Below are 15649 nucleotides of genomic sequence, written 5' to 3' on the forward strand. Positions count from 1 at the left end.
CTCTCTCTTCTCCTCCATCCTTCTTTTCCTCCTCCCTCTGCTCCCCCTCCTCCTCCTCCTCTGAATTCTCTAAGGACAGCAAAGCCAAAGCTGGCTACCCTTCTCTCTTGCTCCACTCATCTAATCAGTTTCCAAACCACACACCCTGCCTCCTCTCTGCCCCCTGACCCGCCTTTCTCCTTCCCTGTGCCATCACTCAGGTAGAGGCTCACTGTTCTCCTGGGGTCTATACTACTTACTTTACACTGTTCTGCCCATTTCCTGCCTTTCTGCATTCCTTTTGCTTGACATTCTCCTGTAATTGGCTTTCTATTTGTTATGGATGGCATGTGTGTGTGTCCTCCACAAATTCATATGTCAAAACCCTAAGCTCTAATGGGATGGTATTAGAAGGTGGGGGCATTGAGAGGCGATGGGTTCTGAGGTTGGGGACCTCGTGGTGGATGTGTGCCCCCATAAGGAGAGACAGGAGAGAGCTTGCTTCCTTTCTCTTTACTGCCTCTACCATGTGAGGATACAAGGAAAAGAAGGCCATCTTCAAACCAGGAAGCAGACCCACCACACATTGAATCTGTCAGGACTTTGATCTTAGCCTTCCCAGCCTCCAAAGCTGTGAGAAATCAATGTCTGTCATTCAAGCCACCCAATCTATGGTAATTCATTATAGCAGCCCAAACTGACTAAGACATCATTGTTCTTCCTACAAAGGAAACGCACTTCATATGGCTTTTAGGCTTTGTATGCACCAGCCCAGCCTCATCTCCTGTCCCAGTGGCCAAGCTGCAGTCAGAGGACCTTCTTTTTGTCCCTTGCACTTGTATGATTTTGCCTCCACAGAGATTTTGTTCATGCTGTTCCCTCTGCCTGCATTGTCCTTCCCTTCAATTTGGCCTTGGCAATTACTGCTCATCTGTCAGCTCTTGCTTAATTGCTAATGCAACGAGGAACATGTTTCCTATGCTCTCTGGCTAGACCAAGCTGTCATGGTGCTATGGGGGTCTCCTCAGTCATCTAAGTTGCAGCTTTTCATGTATCCATGTTATTTGATTTATGTCTGTCTCCCTCATGATATTATAAACTACGTGAGGGCAGAGAACTTATCTGGCTTTGCTGGCCGTTGTAGCTACTGTTCCTAGCACATGTTCTAATAGATGAATAAATGATCAATAAATATTTGTGGACAGAAGGAAAGAAAGATGGTAAATGAAAAAGAGGGAGGTTTATTAGTTTTCTATTGCTGTCTAACCAATTACTGTAGACACAGTGGCTTAAAGCAACACAGACTCATCATCTCAGTTTCCATGGGTCAGGACTCTGGCACGTGTTCGCTGGATACTCGGGTCAGCATCTCACAGGGCCAAAGGCAAGGGCTCAGCCAGCTTCGTCCTGTTGTGGAGACTGACCAAAGAAAGATTTGCTTTCTTGCTAAAGGTCAGCTGGTGGCCAGAGCTCATGGAGGCTGAGTTCAGTTCCTTGCCAGGTGACCCCACCCATAGACCCTCTTACTTTTCCAATTACTCTACTTCAGAAAGGGTCATTTTAAGCCTCCTTAAGGGACCACCTGATCAAATCAGGCACACCTGGATAATCTACCTTTTGATTGACTCAAAGTCACCTGATCAGTAAAGTAATCACAGGAGTGATAACACCATCTTCACGGGCTCTGCGGGCAATCCAAAGAGGGGGTCACGGGAGACATGCACCTCCAGAAAATGAGATCTTGGGGAACGTCTTGGAACTCTGCTGCCCACAGAAGGACGTGAGTTGTGGCAACCAGACAGGTGAACATCATTGCTCCTCAAGGTAGGATGTTGGTTAGAATAACAGACTTTCAGAACTTTGCCACATGCTGGTTGAGAAATGTTGAATAAGTTAGAACCTTTCAAAGTCTTCATTTCCAAATACATATGATTATAATAGCAATAACATCTTCTTCAGGAGTTTCTATGAAAGATTAAATGTCTTCAGCCACAAAATGCTTTGAGCGGTATCCCTGGGACATAGGACATATCCATGAGAGGGACCTATCTCTGTTGGGATTCTTACATGGCTTTTGGGAACAATGGATCCAGGATTTGAAATGCAGATTTTTCCCGGAATACCTAGAACATATGGTCTCCAAAATTAGAGAGGCAACATCCAATCAGCAATATATTTCTGTGGGAAAAAATCCCCTTGGAGACAGGAAGCTAAAGAGAAGACCAAAAAAAAAAAAAAAAAAACAAAATCAAATCCAGGCCTGGTAGTTACCTATTTCATTAAGGAGCATTTACACCTTCCTTAATCAAAGAGTTTTTAAATGTTATTTGAGAGAAAATTATATTATTTTATAAGTTTTGAGTAATACACATAGCAAGTGGAGCTAAATAAAAGAGACTTTGAACTGACTGCCTGTTTTTATTTTGTTTTACACCAAGTTATCTGCTCCTAAATCAAAGTTAATAATATTTCCCACTTAAAATGCCCCCAACATCCTACCGTAGTTATTTCTCATGTTTCAAACTCCCATTCTTGCTGATGAGGGCTTTCTTTTCTATCTAATTTATTTGGATTCTGTTCTCTCCAGTATAATGTAGGAACTTCCCACAGAGTTGATGAGATCACTTCCTGCTGCCTCAGCACAGGGCTGGAGCTGAGTCAGGCCGGCCAGGCCACCCATCGCAAAGGCTGTCATTAGGACTGATTGTCAGAGATAATGTAAAGCCTTAGGAAATGTCACTGACACCCAGAAAATGGGAGCGGAAACCTACCTTGTAGCACCATCCGCTTATACCCTGTGATTCCACCGAAACGTCCTCCTGATCTACGGCTCTCACCTCCTTCCTATCAGCTTTCCTTGCTGGTGACAGAATGGTACCTGCACCCTGGAGGAGAACCCTCACAGGCCATGCTTGGTCCCTGGGGTTTGGGGGCAGCTTGGGCTCATGAAGAGAAACGATGTGGAGGGAGAAGCCTTAGTCTTAACCTCTGGCATTGCCACTTGCTGGCACCATCTGTTCCTTCGCCTCCGTGGGCTCTGGTTTCTGCTTCTGCACCCCTGCAATGGGACAGTCCCAGCACCTGCCATATTTATCTCCCGTCTCTGTTGTTTGTGGAATCAGATGTTGGATGGGACTTTCTCCGCTTGTGAAATCGGGTTAGAATCTGGAATGGGAGCTTCACGCCATTTCCATAATTTCTGCAAGTCCTCCCACCTCAATGCCTCTGCCCCCAGTTCTGTGCTCATTCATTCTATTCAGCTGCATCTTTTAATCCAACGCCCTTTGGCATTTCAGCCTCACAATTTTACTAAAGGTGTGGGTGCTGTTTGGAAGCATCACATCCTATATCATATAGTCTCTGCTATTTGGTAAATTGCACCCCTTTCCTCTAAGTCTTCCTGCAGTCGAGTCTTCTAGGGAGTGATGTACAATTCCCCAGGCTGGGGCTTTTCCCAGGCCAGCAGGCAGCCCACATAGCCTGCCCTGCCTTCAGGAGAACTTCAGTGGATGGAATAGTCTCCGTCTCATAATAGTAGGGTCTAGTGAGTTATTATTATATTAAGGTCTTTGGGAGCACTTTGATACTGGTGAAGTAAATAACAAATGTCAGGTATAATTAGTGCCTTAGACCATTTGAGCTGCTATGCAAAATAGCACAGACTGAGTGGCTGATAAATCACAGAAATTTATTTCCTATACTTCTAAAGGCTGGGAAGCCCAAAATCAAGGTGCTTTGAGATTCAGTGTCTAGTGAGGGCCTGCTTTCGGATCCTTAGATGGTACTTTCTTGATGTGATCTCATATGGTAGAAGGGGTGTGGGATCTTGCTGAGCCTCTTTTATTCAGACCATAGCAATTCACATTATTTTGAACATCATGGGGCATAAAAACTTCTGCAAGCACAACCGAATGGAATCTGCAGCAAGTCTTAGTGATGGCTGGCCTCATGGCAGAAATCAAACCTTCATGTTAAATGGGCATCTTTTAACTAAAGACATCACACTGTGGAGGTATGATCCATAAATATGCAAGCGCTGCAGCCATAACTCCGTTCACCTTGCAAAAGCAAAAATCCAATTATAAGTTGGGTCCAGAACCAGACCAGAAAGGATGGCTTGGTGAATGGCAACACAGTTTCATTGAAAAATAAAGCCAAGCATGTGTTGGATTACTTCTTTCTGTCTATTCTATCAGTACCATGAAAAGCAGGTTGAGTAAATATTTATTAATCAGTCTCTTGGAAATATTTTACTATTCTTTTTTCTAATATTATATGAATGAGAAAATGCATACAAAATGATATAAAGAAATAAAGAAAAATATAAACAATAACAATGCACCTAAAACCAGCTGAAGAAACAAAATATTGCCAACAGAGTCGAAGCCCACTTTCAACCAATTCTTCCCCCACCTCTCTCTTCTACCTTCCCCAGGGATAAGCTCCCAGAGGTAACCACTGGCTTGAACTGGATTTTTATCATTTCCATGGTTTTCTTTGTATCTTTTCTTATTTGTTTCCTCAACTTTTCCTACATATGCATGTGCTCCTAAGCTATATTTCCACATTTCTGTATTGGAGGGCTTTCTAACCACTGTCCTGGGGCACACTGGTGTGCCTGGAACGACTTACAAGCTGCCAAGCGCCTTAGTCAGCCAAGGGCTCCATAACAAAGTGCCATGGACTGGGGATGTCAACAAGAGATGTTATTTTCTCACAGCTCTGGAGGCTGGAAGGCTGAGATCAAGGTGTCCACAAGGTTGGATTCCTCAGTCTTTTCTCCCTGGCTTAGATATGGTACCTTCTGGCTGTGTTCTTGCATGGCTTTGTCTCTGTGCACCTGCATCCCTGTTCCTTCCCCTTCTCATAAGGACACTAGTGGTATTAAAGTCCCACCTTTGTGATCTCATTACAGGATCTATCTCTAAAAACTGTCATGTTGGGGATTTGGGCTTCAGCATATGAATTTGGAGGGACACAATTCAGTCCACAGTGTCATGTTAGTCATCTTTTCTGCCTTCCACAATCTTGCTGATTTATAAATAAGCAAACCTGAAACAACGTTTCATGAAATCACCGCCCTTGAGACACAGAAGAACAGCTTGGCACATTTGCCCACCCTCCACCGCCCTGGCCGCATTTTTCAGAACTCAAGACTCAGAATTTCTTTGGGGAGCTTCTCTGATTTTTCACATTCCCTGTAAGAATATACTTGGATGATATTCTTGGATATGAGCTTGGTTTCTCTTCAATGGAAATTCAATGCCCGCTTTTTTCATCCTGATCATTCACAAGAATAATGAGTATATGAGGGAGAACAGAGAGACTCTTTCTTATTTAAAGTCTCAACCTGTTTGGTGTACATCTCTCTAGCAGAATCTCTGGAATGTGGAACCTCCTGGTCCATGCAGATCAAATGTCGTTACCAGTTTAAAAACAAATTAGTCCATAATAACTCTTCTGAACCTGCCCTCAAGCAGCCCAAGCCCCTCAAACTAAGAAAGCCAGTGACAAGCACTACGTTTCGGGCAGTCGCTCCATTGTCCTCCCCAGAGGAGCTCCACCAACACTGACAGCTCAGGGCTAACTTATTCTCCAGGAATTATCCCAATTGCCTGCAATGCAACACAGCTGCCTCTGCAGGAGACCCTTTCCCTTTCCACAGGGACAGCCTCCATCCTGTGCAAAGAGCGGAAAGGTCTGGCCTCCTGGCCTCCAGATAGAACAACACTGAGTTCAGAACTCCCTGTGGGATCTGTGAGGCTTTTGCATTAACTACATTTCACTTAAACTCTTTCATTTGTTCAATTGTCCTCATTTCACTCCTCCATAGAGGCACGCTGCCATCAACTCCCTGACTCAGATTTCTATCTGTATCTGCTGCCTGAGGAACCTGACTTAGAGCAGCAGGTGCCAGGCCTGGTCTCAGGAATTTGACTCTAAAATGGAATTCTGGAACTGGGCAGCCTTTCGGCCGACAGGCAGTGAAGACCCCGTCACTAGGAGCCAGGGACAGAAGCATGAAGAGCCCCAGCATGCTGCACTGCAATTGTCCGTTTCACAGTCACGAACTAGGAAGGGACACTCAGCAGGGCATGCACAGGGCGCGAGGCCCCACACATTTGAGAAATTCAAGGGATAGGATAATTCTGAGGACGTGAAACTCCAATGACCATTGCTGAATGTTATTGATACTTTGGGGCAGAAAATTTGAGATTTAGGTCCAGAAGTTCATTGTCAGTGTGGCAGAGCTCCAGTGGAAGTAGAATCTCCACTTCAGCAAAGTTACTACCACGCCAAGATTAGATCCCTATTTGGGAAGTTGGGTGCTGAGATTTGGGGCTGGAGCACAGACATCAGTGCTTCTGAAAATTTCACGCCCCTTCATCTGTCCAAACCTATGGGTGAGCAGAAGTAACCCACTCCTCTCTGCTAAGATCTGGTGACCACTGCCTTACAAGAGAATGAGAGCCAGAACCACTTCCTCCCTATCCCTCACCCCTACTTAAGACCTATCCCACCAGCTCTCCTAGCTACCAGGTCAACACTTACGTCTCAGCACAATATGGCTGGGAACATGTTGGGCCTGCTGAAAAGGAGAAGGACTGTTCCCCAAAAGAGCTGCAAGCCCTTACCAACATGTATCAGCAGGAGCTGGGAGAGTGGAGCCTGAAGGCCTGGGATCAAGGTCAAGGTGAGACATAGGAGGACAAGGGCAAAATCTCCTGTGATCAAGGGTTGAGCATGCAGGCTAGGGCCATGGGGGAGGATGCTAACACACTGTGGAGGCACTGGGAAGCCAGGAGAAAGCACCAGCCTATACTAAGTGAGGCAGAAATCTCAGAACATCTCAGACATGAAAAAAGAAATCAAAAGTCTCAGAGAAATGGGGTTGCTGGCACTAATGTGTTATAGAAGACCACTTGATTTTAACAGGGAGGAGTGGAATACCAGCCAATTAAGCATCACAAGAGAGCATGGAGGCTGTTTTCCAAAGCAAGAAGGAATGTCCTGTTGAATAGAGCATCAGTTTCACGGGAAAACTCAGTGCGGCTGCTTTCTACAAGTCAAGACCGACAGTAGGAATGCTGATACAGAACTGTGTCCCCTGATATCCATAACACAATAGGATTCCCCAAAATCAAAAGCCAGGTGGCAATGCTTGATCATTAAAAGGAAGGTGGGTGCAATGATTGTAATGATTGGCAGGGTGGTATCCAGGGACCCTGGCCCACAGTTAGCTGTGGAGATGCTGAACCTGACATTCCCGAGGGCAAGAGAGATGGGCAGCCAGTGAGTCAGCAGGCAAAGAGATGGAGTTAGTTTATGTGGTACTGTATTGTTCAAGAGGAGGAGAAAAGCACTTGTTAATATAGATCAATTAAGTAGTAGTGTTACAATTCTTAGGGTAGCCACTAAATGAATGCAAGAAAGAAGGGGAAAAGAAGCATAGATAGATAGAAAGCACAAAATAATATAAATATATCTGTAATTTCATTTAATATAAATGAACTAAATGACCCAGCAGAAAGCTAAAAAATGCCACAGAGTGAAAAAAACAAAATCCAAATATAATCTATACATATAAATCATATCTTAAACAAAATGTATAGAACTGTCAAAAGTAAAAAGAAAGAAAAGCACAGACCATGCAACCATCAACCAAAAGAAACCTAGTATATTAGATATAATACATTTTGAGCAAAACTCACTCATAAAGAGGATCAAATCACAACAATGGAACATTAAAGTCACCCAGAAGATAAAAAGCTATTCTAAATTTATATGCAGTCAATAATATAGTCACAAAATACGTAAGACAAAAATTGCTACCACTACAAGGAAAAATAGAAAAATTCACCATCATATTAAAACTTTTGGCACAACTCTCTCATTACTGATTGATTCAAGCAGACCAAAACAACAACAACAACAAACAAACAAAGTGGAATATAGAGATTTAAAGAACTTGATTAATAAACTTGACTTATAAGTACATAGAATGTTATCTCCCAAACTACAGAATACAGGGACTTTTAAAGCACACCAAAGACAGTAACAAAAATTAACTATATACTGGATCATAAACAAATAATGACCAGTTTTTAAAAGAGTGAATTTATAGTGAGTGTGCCCTCTGATGGCAATGCAATTATGATAGAAGTCAAAATGAACAAAGAAAAGATAATTATAAAATACATATATGTTTAGAAATTAAGAATTCCATTTATAAATAATCCGTGAGCCTATGGAGAAATCATAACTCATAACGGAAATTAGAAAATATTTTTAAATGAAATGTTAAAAAATACATTTTAGAATTTGTGGGATCTTTTTCTAAATACATATGTTTAAAAAGAAAAATATCATAGGTTAGCTCCCACTTATAAGTGAGAACATATAATGTTTTGTTTTCCTTTCCTGAGTTACTTCACTCAGAATAATGGCCTCCAATTCCATCCAGGTTGCTGCAAATGGCATTATTTCATTCCTTTGTATGGCTGAGTAGTGTTCCATGATGTGTACACACACACACACACACACACATGCATATATATATATCATATATGATATATACCTTATATATAATATATGTAATATATCATATATGATATATATGTAATATAAATATATATGTATGTAATCTATATCATATATGATATATATAAAAATATCTCTCTATATAATATACATTATACATTATATATACATATAAACATATATGATATAAAATATAGCTTAGCCCTCACTTATAAGTATAGATCATATATATCATATATCATATATATCATATAAATCATATATCATTTATAGATTATAAATATATATAATATATCATATATATTTATATATGATATATATATATATCACAACTTTTTTATCCACTCATTGATTGATGGGCATTTGGGATGGTTTTATATTTTTGCAATTGTGATTTGTGCTGCTGTAAACATGCATGTGTCTTTTTTGTATAATGACTTCTTTTCTTCTGGGTAGAAAGTAATGGGATTGCTGGATCAAACAGTAGACCTACTTTTAGTTCTTTAAGTAATCTCCACACTGCTTTTCATAGTGTTTGTACTAGTTTACAATCCCACCAGCAGTGTAAAAGTGTTCCCTTTTCACCACATCCATGCCAACAGAAAACCATTTCTTAAACAACCCCTACATTATAGGGAAAAAATGGGTTATATTAAATTTAGGAGCTAGCCATGCCTTTGTCCCAGCTCTAACACAGCTCCTTCTAGAAGCTTCCTCTGACTCCTCTGAGCATCTTAATGCTTGCTGTTTTGATCCCAGATCCTAATACCACCCTTATAACGTTGTACCGTTGTCTTATAATTTTCACACCTGTCAATTACACTGAACTTTGAGTTTCCTCATAGCAGAAACTCTGTCTTATTGGTCTTTATCCTCTGAAACTTAGCAAACTGCCTGCCACCTGGAGGATGCACAATAAATGGATGATGAGTTGTTAAATGCAAGAGTGCACCTACTGATGACGTTGCATTTATCTGCTCATCTTACAGGGCATTACTAAGAGTTTAAGATAGTCTTTCCTGCACTTGTAATGAGAAGCTCTCCTTTCAGACTCCCTTCTACATGATGCGAAAGGCAGAATGTGTACAAAAATCCAGAGCAAAGTTTGCTAACAGAGTCCACTGCTGTTCACCAAGTCTTTGTGTTGGAATGCTTCTAGTGAAAACACAAATGTAGTTTATAGAAAAATGTGCCTTTATGTTGAAATCCTCCAGGTTTTCGTGGAAGTGGTTCGGCTGGGCACACAGCATGCACTGAAATCTCCTGTGAACTGCTTGAGCACTACTGGATTGTTGCATTTAATTGGGCAACAGCTGGTGATAATTTTCTGTGTATGGAGTGAGGGATTTAGTGACTGATTCACTCTTTGCATTGTGTTTCATTATCTTCATTTTTGTCCTTTCAGCTTTTGTAATGGGCTATAAAGGAGTGTGAGGCAGAGAGGAACTGAGAACCTGACATGAAGCAGAGTCCTGAGATTTGCAAGCTGGGCACCATGCGCTGTTTCTTCAGGAAAAGCTTTTGTTAGCAAGTGCACAGACTCCCAATGCTTGCCTTAAAGAAACGTCTGAGATTCACTTAATTCAATGCCATCCTTCTCAGCTGGTGAAACAGAGGCGCAGAGAGGCAAAGAGGCCTACCTGTGATCACCCAGCAAGCCAGTTGCTGAGCAAGCCAGTTGCTGAGCAAGGATTCAGGTCTAAGCCTACCTCCAGCTCTGTGTTCTTTCCCCGGTACTATAGTCTCTCCCTCCACCCCCTTCAACTGTCTTTCTCAAACATTACTCCCACCCACTCCATCCTTGATCAAGCTATGAGAAGGTCTGAGAAAAGGGCAGAGCTGTGACCTGCGATGTTTGACCTTTGAAGTCCTCTAGCTCTTCTTGAGTGACTTCAGTAGAAGTCTGAAAACAAAACAGAACACCAAAATCCCTAAGCGCAGTAGGAATCCTCTCCTCCTGAGAATCAATTAGTGATTGTTGTAAAGCATTACACAAATGTTGTACTATTATTGGACAATCATCTGGCATGTGCTGGCTGAGCATGCTAATAGGAACCTGGATAGTCCTAAGAAACGGCTTGTCAATCTACAAGATACCCAAGAGAAAAGGAAGTTCAAAGTTGAAGTCGTTAGAGAAAGAACAGTAGCTTCTCATCATTAGAGGGTAATGGCACTCAAAGGCTCTGTTATCCTACCCACTAGGCCCCTGGTTCCAGGCAAGTAGGCTTGGCCCTGACCGCCTTACTCTATCCTTTTGTGTTATCTGAAATTCTATGTCACTTCAAGTAATTTATGGAAACTGGCAAGGGATGGATGAATGGATGGATGGATGACAAACAGGCAAAGAGATAGAAAGATAATAAAAACAGATGTTATATAAAAACTGTGAAGAAACAGCTGGTTTCTGCAGGGGACAGGATGCACCCTGCCTCAAGTCTCCTGAGCTGCCACTTGCACCTGGAGTGTTTTTTCTTGGCTCCTGGTGACGGACAGGGAGACAGGGCTTTCCTGCTGTCTTGTCTGCAGACAGTGATGGTGGCAGGAGGTGGATATGACAGGAGACCTTGATTCCCTGCCTTGTCTTCCTCTGCATCTGCCAGGGAGCAGGGAACGGCACATGGACACAAGCGATGGGAGTTTCTTGCCTGTGCGTCCAGCTGTTCAGGCATCAAGGCAAATGTAAATGCACCACAGCAAACATGTCACATGGCAGCTGCCATCCCTCAGTTCGCCCTTGGCCAGTCTCTGAGGAAAGAACACAACCTTGGGCAGAAACAAGGAGAGAGAACAACAAGGAAAGCTCAGGAGGCTGTGTTACCAAAGAGGAGCTGCCAGCCATTGTTCCATGGAGAGTGGCCTCAGTTTGGAATAATGCCAGGGAATGGTTCAGCAGCCTGGATGGAGTGAATGGAAGGAAAATAAATGTACCTTTTGTTGAATGACAGATATGACATGTATGTCATCAGACAAAAGAAAAAGAGCCAGAAATAAGACAAAATGTGGCCAGGAAAAGCTTACTTCTGAGTAATTGATATTTCTTTTATGGACAGTGTGAATCTTCAACTGTAGGCTTTCCCTTTTTGCTTTGGTTGCCAGGGAGCCCATGCTTTAATTTTCAATTCAACTTCACTAAGCAAGTAACACCTTATGGAATAAATTCCTATAACTAACTTTCCCTCTGGTTTTATCATACCATTTTATCTATATTTTCTCACATATTGACTTAAAACATCCATCTACATATTGCTATTTTATTGCATTATAGTCTCACAAGCTGCATCAAAAAATTTTTGGAACAAAGCAAGGCAGGAATATATGCATGTAGGCCAGCAAGATTTGAAAATAAAAAAAAGCATTAATGAGTGTTCTAAATGCAACTGGAACCCAAAAATAGGGCATGAGAAGGAGAGCATGGGGTGCCAAGACACTTTTATCCTCTTCCCAGTTGAGTGACCAGATGCCTGCAGCATTGAACTGATTATCTCATCTCCCCTGAACCCAGTTTCACCAAGGGTAAAAAGGGAAGAGTTGTTTAGATTGTCAATAGGATCCCTACCAAATATAATCATTTATTATTTGAAGTTTGTACAGCTTGTGTTCACCTCCCAGGAAGAGGGTTGGACTTGGGAGAGGAGTTTAGGGCCAAAGCGTGCCACCCTGCAATTGAGACACTGCTTGAGGAAGGAGGCACTGAAGGCTGACTGAGGAGTAAATAGAGGTTCCAAGGACTCTGTTATTTAAATGAGGTAAGAGTTGGCTTGGGAATTGGCAATTGAAAAGTGGAGAGAGAAGAATTTGAATTTCCACTTTGTTGAACTCAAAAGAAGAAAAAGGACTTTGCTAAGGCAGGACATAAAGGGGGCTGAGGGCATGCGGCTCAAACCCCAGGGCTTGGGAGAAGTATGGCTAGAGAGAGGAACCACATTCCTGATGGCTCCTCACAATGGTGACCTTTGAGAAATCCCAAATGGAAGTCAAGGACAGCCGCCATATGTCCTGACAAGCGCAAGATGATTATAGGTTCAGGAATGCAATTTAGAACCAGGCCACAGGGATGGGTGGAGCCTGCCTTGGCGAGAGTGGAGGACTCCAATTGTGTTCCATTAGGGCCGCCCAAATGCATGCCATACATTCACTCATGGCGATGGAGCTCGGTAATGTGTTCAATATTCTCCAACATCGTGGTCACATCAGTGGAGCATACTGGCTCCTATGTGGCTGGAAAATGCCAGAACATGGGCAGAGAAGGCTAACATCTTAACCCTGATTCTTTGTGGAAACATCAAAGATCCATTCTGGATCTTAATAAGTGGAATCCAGTAAAAATTTGGTGAAACCTGATCTTACTGCCTTGTTTGGTCAGAAAATCTGGGATTTCTGCAAATTGGTTGATTAGGACAAATACATACCAACATTTCTGACCTCAGAGCCAATAACCACTCTGTCAATCAAGCAGTAGGTTTGTGTGTGTGTGTGCATGTATGTGTGTGAGGGTGTATGTGTATGTGCATGTGTGTATATGTGTGTGTGTATGTATGTGTGTGCATGTAAGTGCATGTTTGTGTGTACATGTGTGTATGCCCGTGCTGTGTGCCATCTCTGCATTATTGTGCCTTACCCTATAAACACAATATATCATTGTTTCTCTTAAATTGCTTTATCCTATGAGTGGGCCACCCAACCCAATGTCTGTGTGGCCCATGGCGGGGTCTAAAGAAAGAAAGATGAATGTCTGTCTCCTGAGACACATAGATTTTTAGAAAGACAACGTCATGTGCAGATGTTTGAAGCAATAGAAAGAACAGAGATATGGAACAAAACAGAGCTGCCTTCAATCCCAGCTGCTCCCAAGCAGCGGGTCCCTAGAGTAGCCTGGACAGCTACCTGGGACTTCACTTACCTACATGTAAAATGGCAGGAAAGCCCTGCCCCGCAAGTGCTGTGCAGAGCGAGTGCAGCACTGTCTGTGGAGGGCTCCCGGTGCTTAGCAAGCCTCCTTACATCCTTCTTCCCTGTCCTGCCCATTCTCTGCTGATAGGAGCCTGGCCAGTCAGGAGCATGGTCCAGCTTTCTCAACTATGTCATCCCTGTGGAATCAATGGGAGTGTGGAATGAAGGGAGACGTAGTTAAGGAGCCGGGAGATGCTGGGAGTGACCTTATTGCCAGCCCTCGGCAGATGTTCCTCAGTGATAAGTCACGTATGGAATAAGAATGGCCTATCACACTCCCCACTCCAGCATAGTCTGAGACTATGGGACAGTCCTGAGTTAGCCTGGCATTGACCCCAGAGGGAAGACCCTGCCCAGAGGCTCCACTTTCCTGGTGCCCTTGTAGGGAGGGGCCAGGCCATGGGGGGACTCCTCGGGTGTCACTGGCACAAAGACCAGAGGCCCGGGTGCTTCTCATCTGCCAGGAGGGAAGCACCGGGGGCTGAAGATTTGACCTGTGAGGATGCTGAGGCCTCCAGGAGAGTCCTCCAGCCCAGGCCCGGCTCTGACACTGTGGGACCAGAGGAGAACTGGAGGCTCTCAGCCCCCAGACGTATGCCTTCTCCCCACCAGCTTCTGCTCGTTTCCACAGTGCAGGGGCCCTCCGAGCCTGAGTGTGGAGCCCCCAGCCTGGGAGTCAAGCTGCAACCTCCCCTTCCCAATAACCACCCCTGCGGCCATGCCTGCCCTGTGATGAGGGGTGTGCAGCCTGGCGTGTAGAATTTTAGAAAGACACTACCGTGGGGTGACACCAGTGCCATGGTTCCTCCTTGGGATGAGCTGATGCACGCCTCAGAGGAGACTTAGGGCTGGTTGGTTAGGGAATTCTGGAGTCATGGGGACTCAGAGCTTAGAAAGTGGAGAAGATGGAGTGGGCTCCCAGTGGGCCCAGCCTCACATGTTTGCCTCATCAGGTGAGGAGGGGCATAGTGGGAGAAGCTGGAGTGGGATTCTCTAAAACGCAGGGCCCAGAATAGGGGACTGTCTTACCTGGGCCAAAGGAATGTACTCTTCAAACCAGGCAGCACCAAAGAGCAAAAGCTGAGACAAGAAAGTGAAATAAGAGCTGAAGGAATGAGGGAGCCTGAGAGGCTGTCAGGAGGATCTTAATGCAGCATGGAAGTCATCATAACTCCATGGAGAGGGGCACTCATGCACCTGCCCATGCGTTTGAGACTCAGCAACATTTGGATACACTGTTGAGTGAGGAACAAGGACACAAGAAGACCACACTGATGCTCCTGGGCATCATCTGGGCTACATTTTGGAGATTCAGGATGGCTTGGACCTTGCCATGGGGTTGCCCAAGAAAAACTCATCACACTTTAACAATTCACTGCTCTCTGAAAAAAATGAATATGGCGCCATGTGAGCCACCATAACGTCTGCAGTAGGGAGAAAACTATTTTTTTCTCCCTACTGCAGGAACATGTCTGCTAAACCTGCTTGTGATTTTAAAATGTGGGAACCAGTTTAAAGTCAGGGATAGAACTTAGTATTAGAAACATGTGTAACCCAGGCAGCCTCTGGCTGTTCACCCCACAATCCACCTGCAAGACATTGGGGAGCGTCTCCTTAGCAAAGCAGTGACCCAGAAAGGTGAGGTCCTGTCTGTCTTGAGAGTATGTGCTTCATGAGTGCTTTCTCAGCCCCAAAGACCTCCAAAAATTGCAGATTAAGTGAAATATACATTTTGTAGCAAAGACTTTACTTTCCAAAGTTTTGGAAACTTGACTACTTCCTGCCAAATTAGAGATATATTAAATCCAGTAGGGTGTGCCATGTAAGTGTCCTGGTCAAATAATTTTAAAAAGTTTCCAATACCCAACAAAGATAAAATGCCCTCAAATTATTGTCTCAGATCTGTTGGAATCAATGTTGCTGACAGTCACAAGCCATTTATCAAAACTGGTTAGTAATCTTTTCTTTGGCTGGATTTTCTTTTCCATCACAACAGTGATGAGCAGATCTTGATTAAGACAGAATGGTCCACACGCATAATAACCTTAGATTTTTTTTAAGTATTTGGCAAATGTCAAAGCAAAGAATAACTTGAACAATTCTATAAAAAATGTGTTCCTGTGGTCATGTTCATATCCTTCCAGTTATAGGAAAATGAAACAAAGAAAAACATTTAGCC

General features: G+C 43.4%; 1 long non-coding RNA gene across 1 annotated transcript in view, besides 2 other annotated features; it reads right to left on the reverse strand.

Moving 5' to 3' along the window:
* Nucleotides 1–1200: 1200 nt before the first annotated feature.
* LINC00299 (long intergenic non-protein coding RNA 299) overlaps nt 1201–15649 on the reverse strand; it is a 320649-nt gene continuing 306200 nt past the window's right edge. Inside the window, exon 9 of the long non-coding RNA NR_034135.1 lies at nt 1201–2189. This is a non-coding gene — a long non-coding RNA (long intergenic non-protein coding RNA 299). The remainder of the gene's footprint in view (nt 2190–15649) is intronic.
* Nucleotides 13464–13964: an enhancer, noted in NCBI's record as "H3K4me1 hESC enhancer chr2:8160164-8160664 (GRCh37/hg19 assembly coordinates)". NCBI's record gives its function as "activates a minimal SCP1, AML or CMV promoter by ChIP-STARR-seq in naive H9 embryonic stem cells {active_cell/tissue: H9 hESC(naive)}" and the evidence as "EXISTENCE:reporter gene assay evidence [ECO:0000049][PMID:30033119]".
* Nucleotides 13965–14465: an enhancer, noted in NCBI's record as "H3K4me1 hESC enhancer chr2:8160665-8161165 (GRCh37/hg19 assembly coordinates)". NCBI's record gives its function as "activates a minimal SCP1, AML or CMV promoter by ChIP-STARR-seq in naive H9 embryonic stem cells {active_cell/tissue: H9 hESC(naive)}" and the evidence as "EXISTENCE:reporter gene assay evidence [ECO:0000049][PMID:30033119]".

This window comes from Homo sapiens, chromosome 2 (assembly GCF_000001405.40).
Source record: "Homo sapiens chromosome 2, GRCh38.p14 Primary Assembly".
Taxonomy (NCBI): Eukaryota; Metazoa; Chordata; class Mammalia; order Primates; family Hominidae; genus Homo; species Homo sapiens.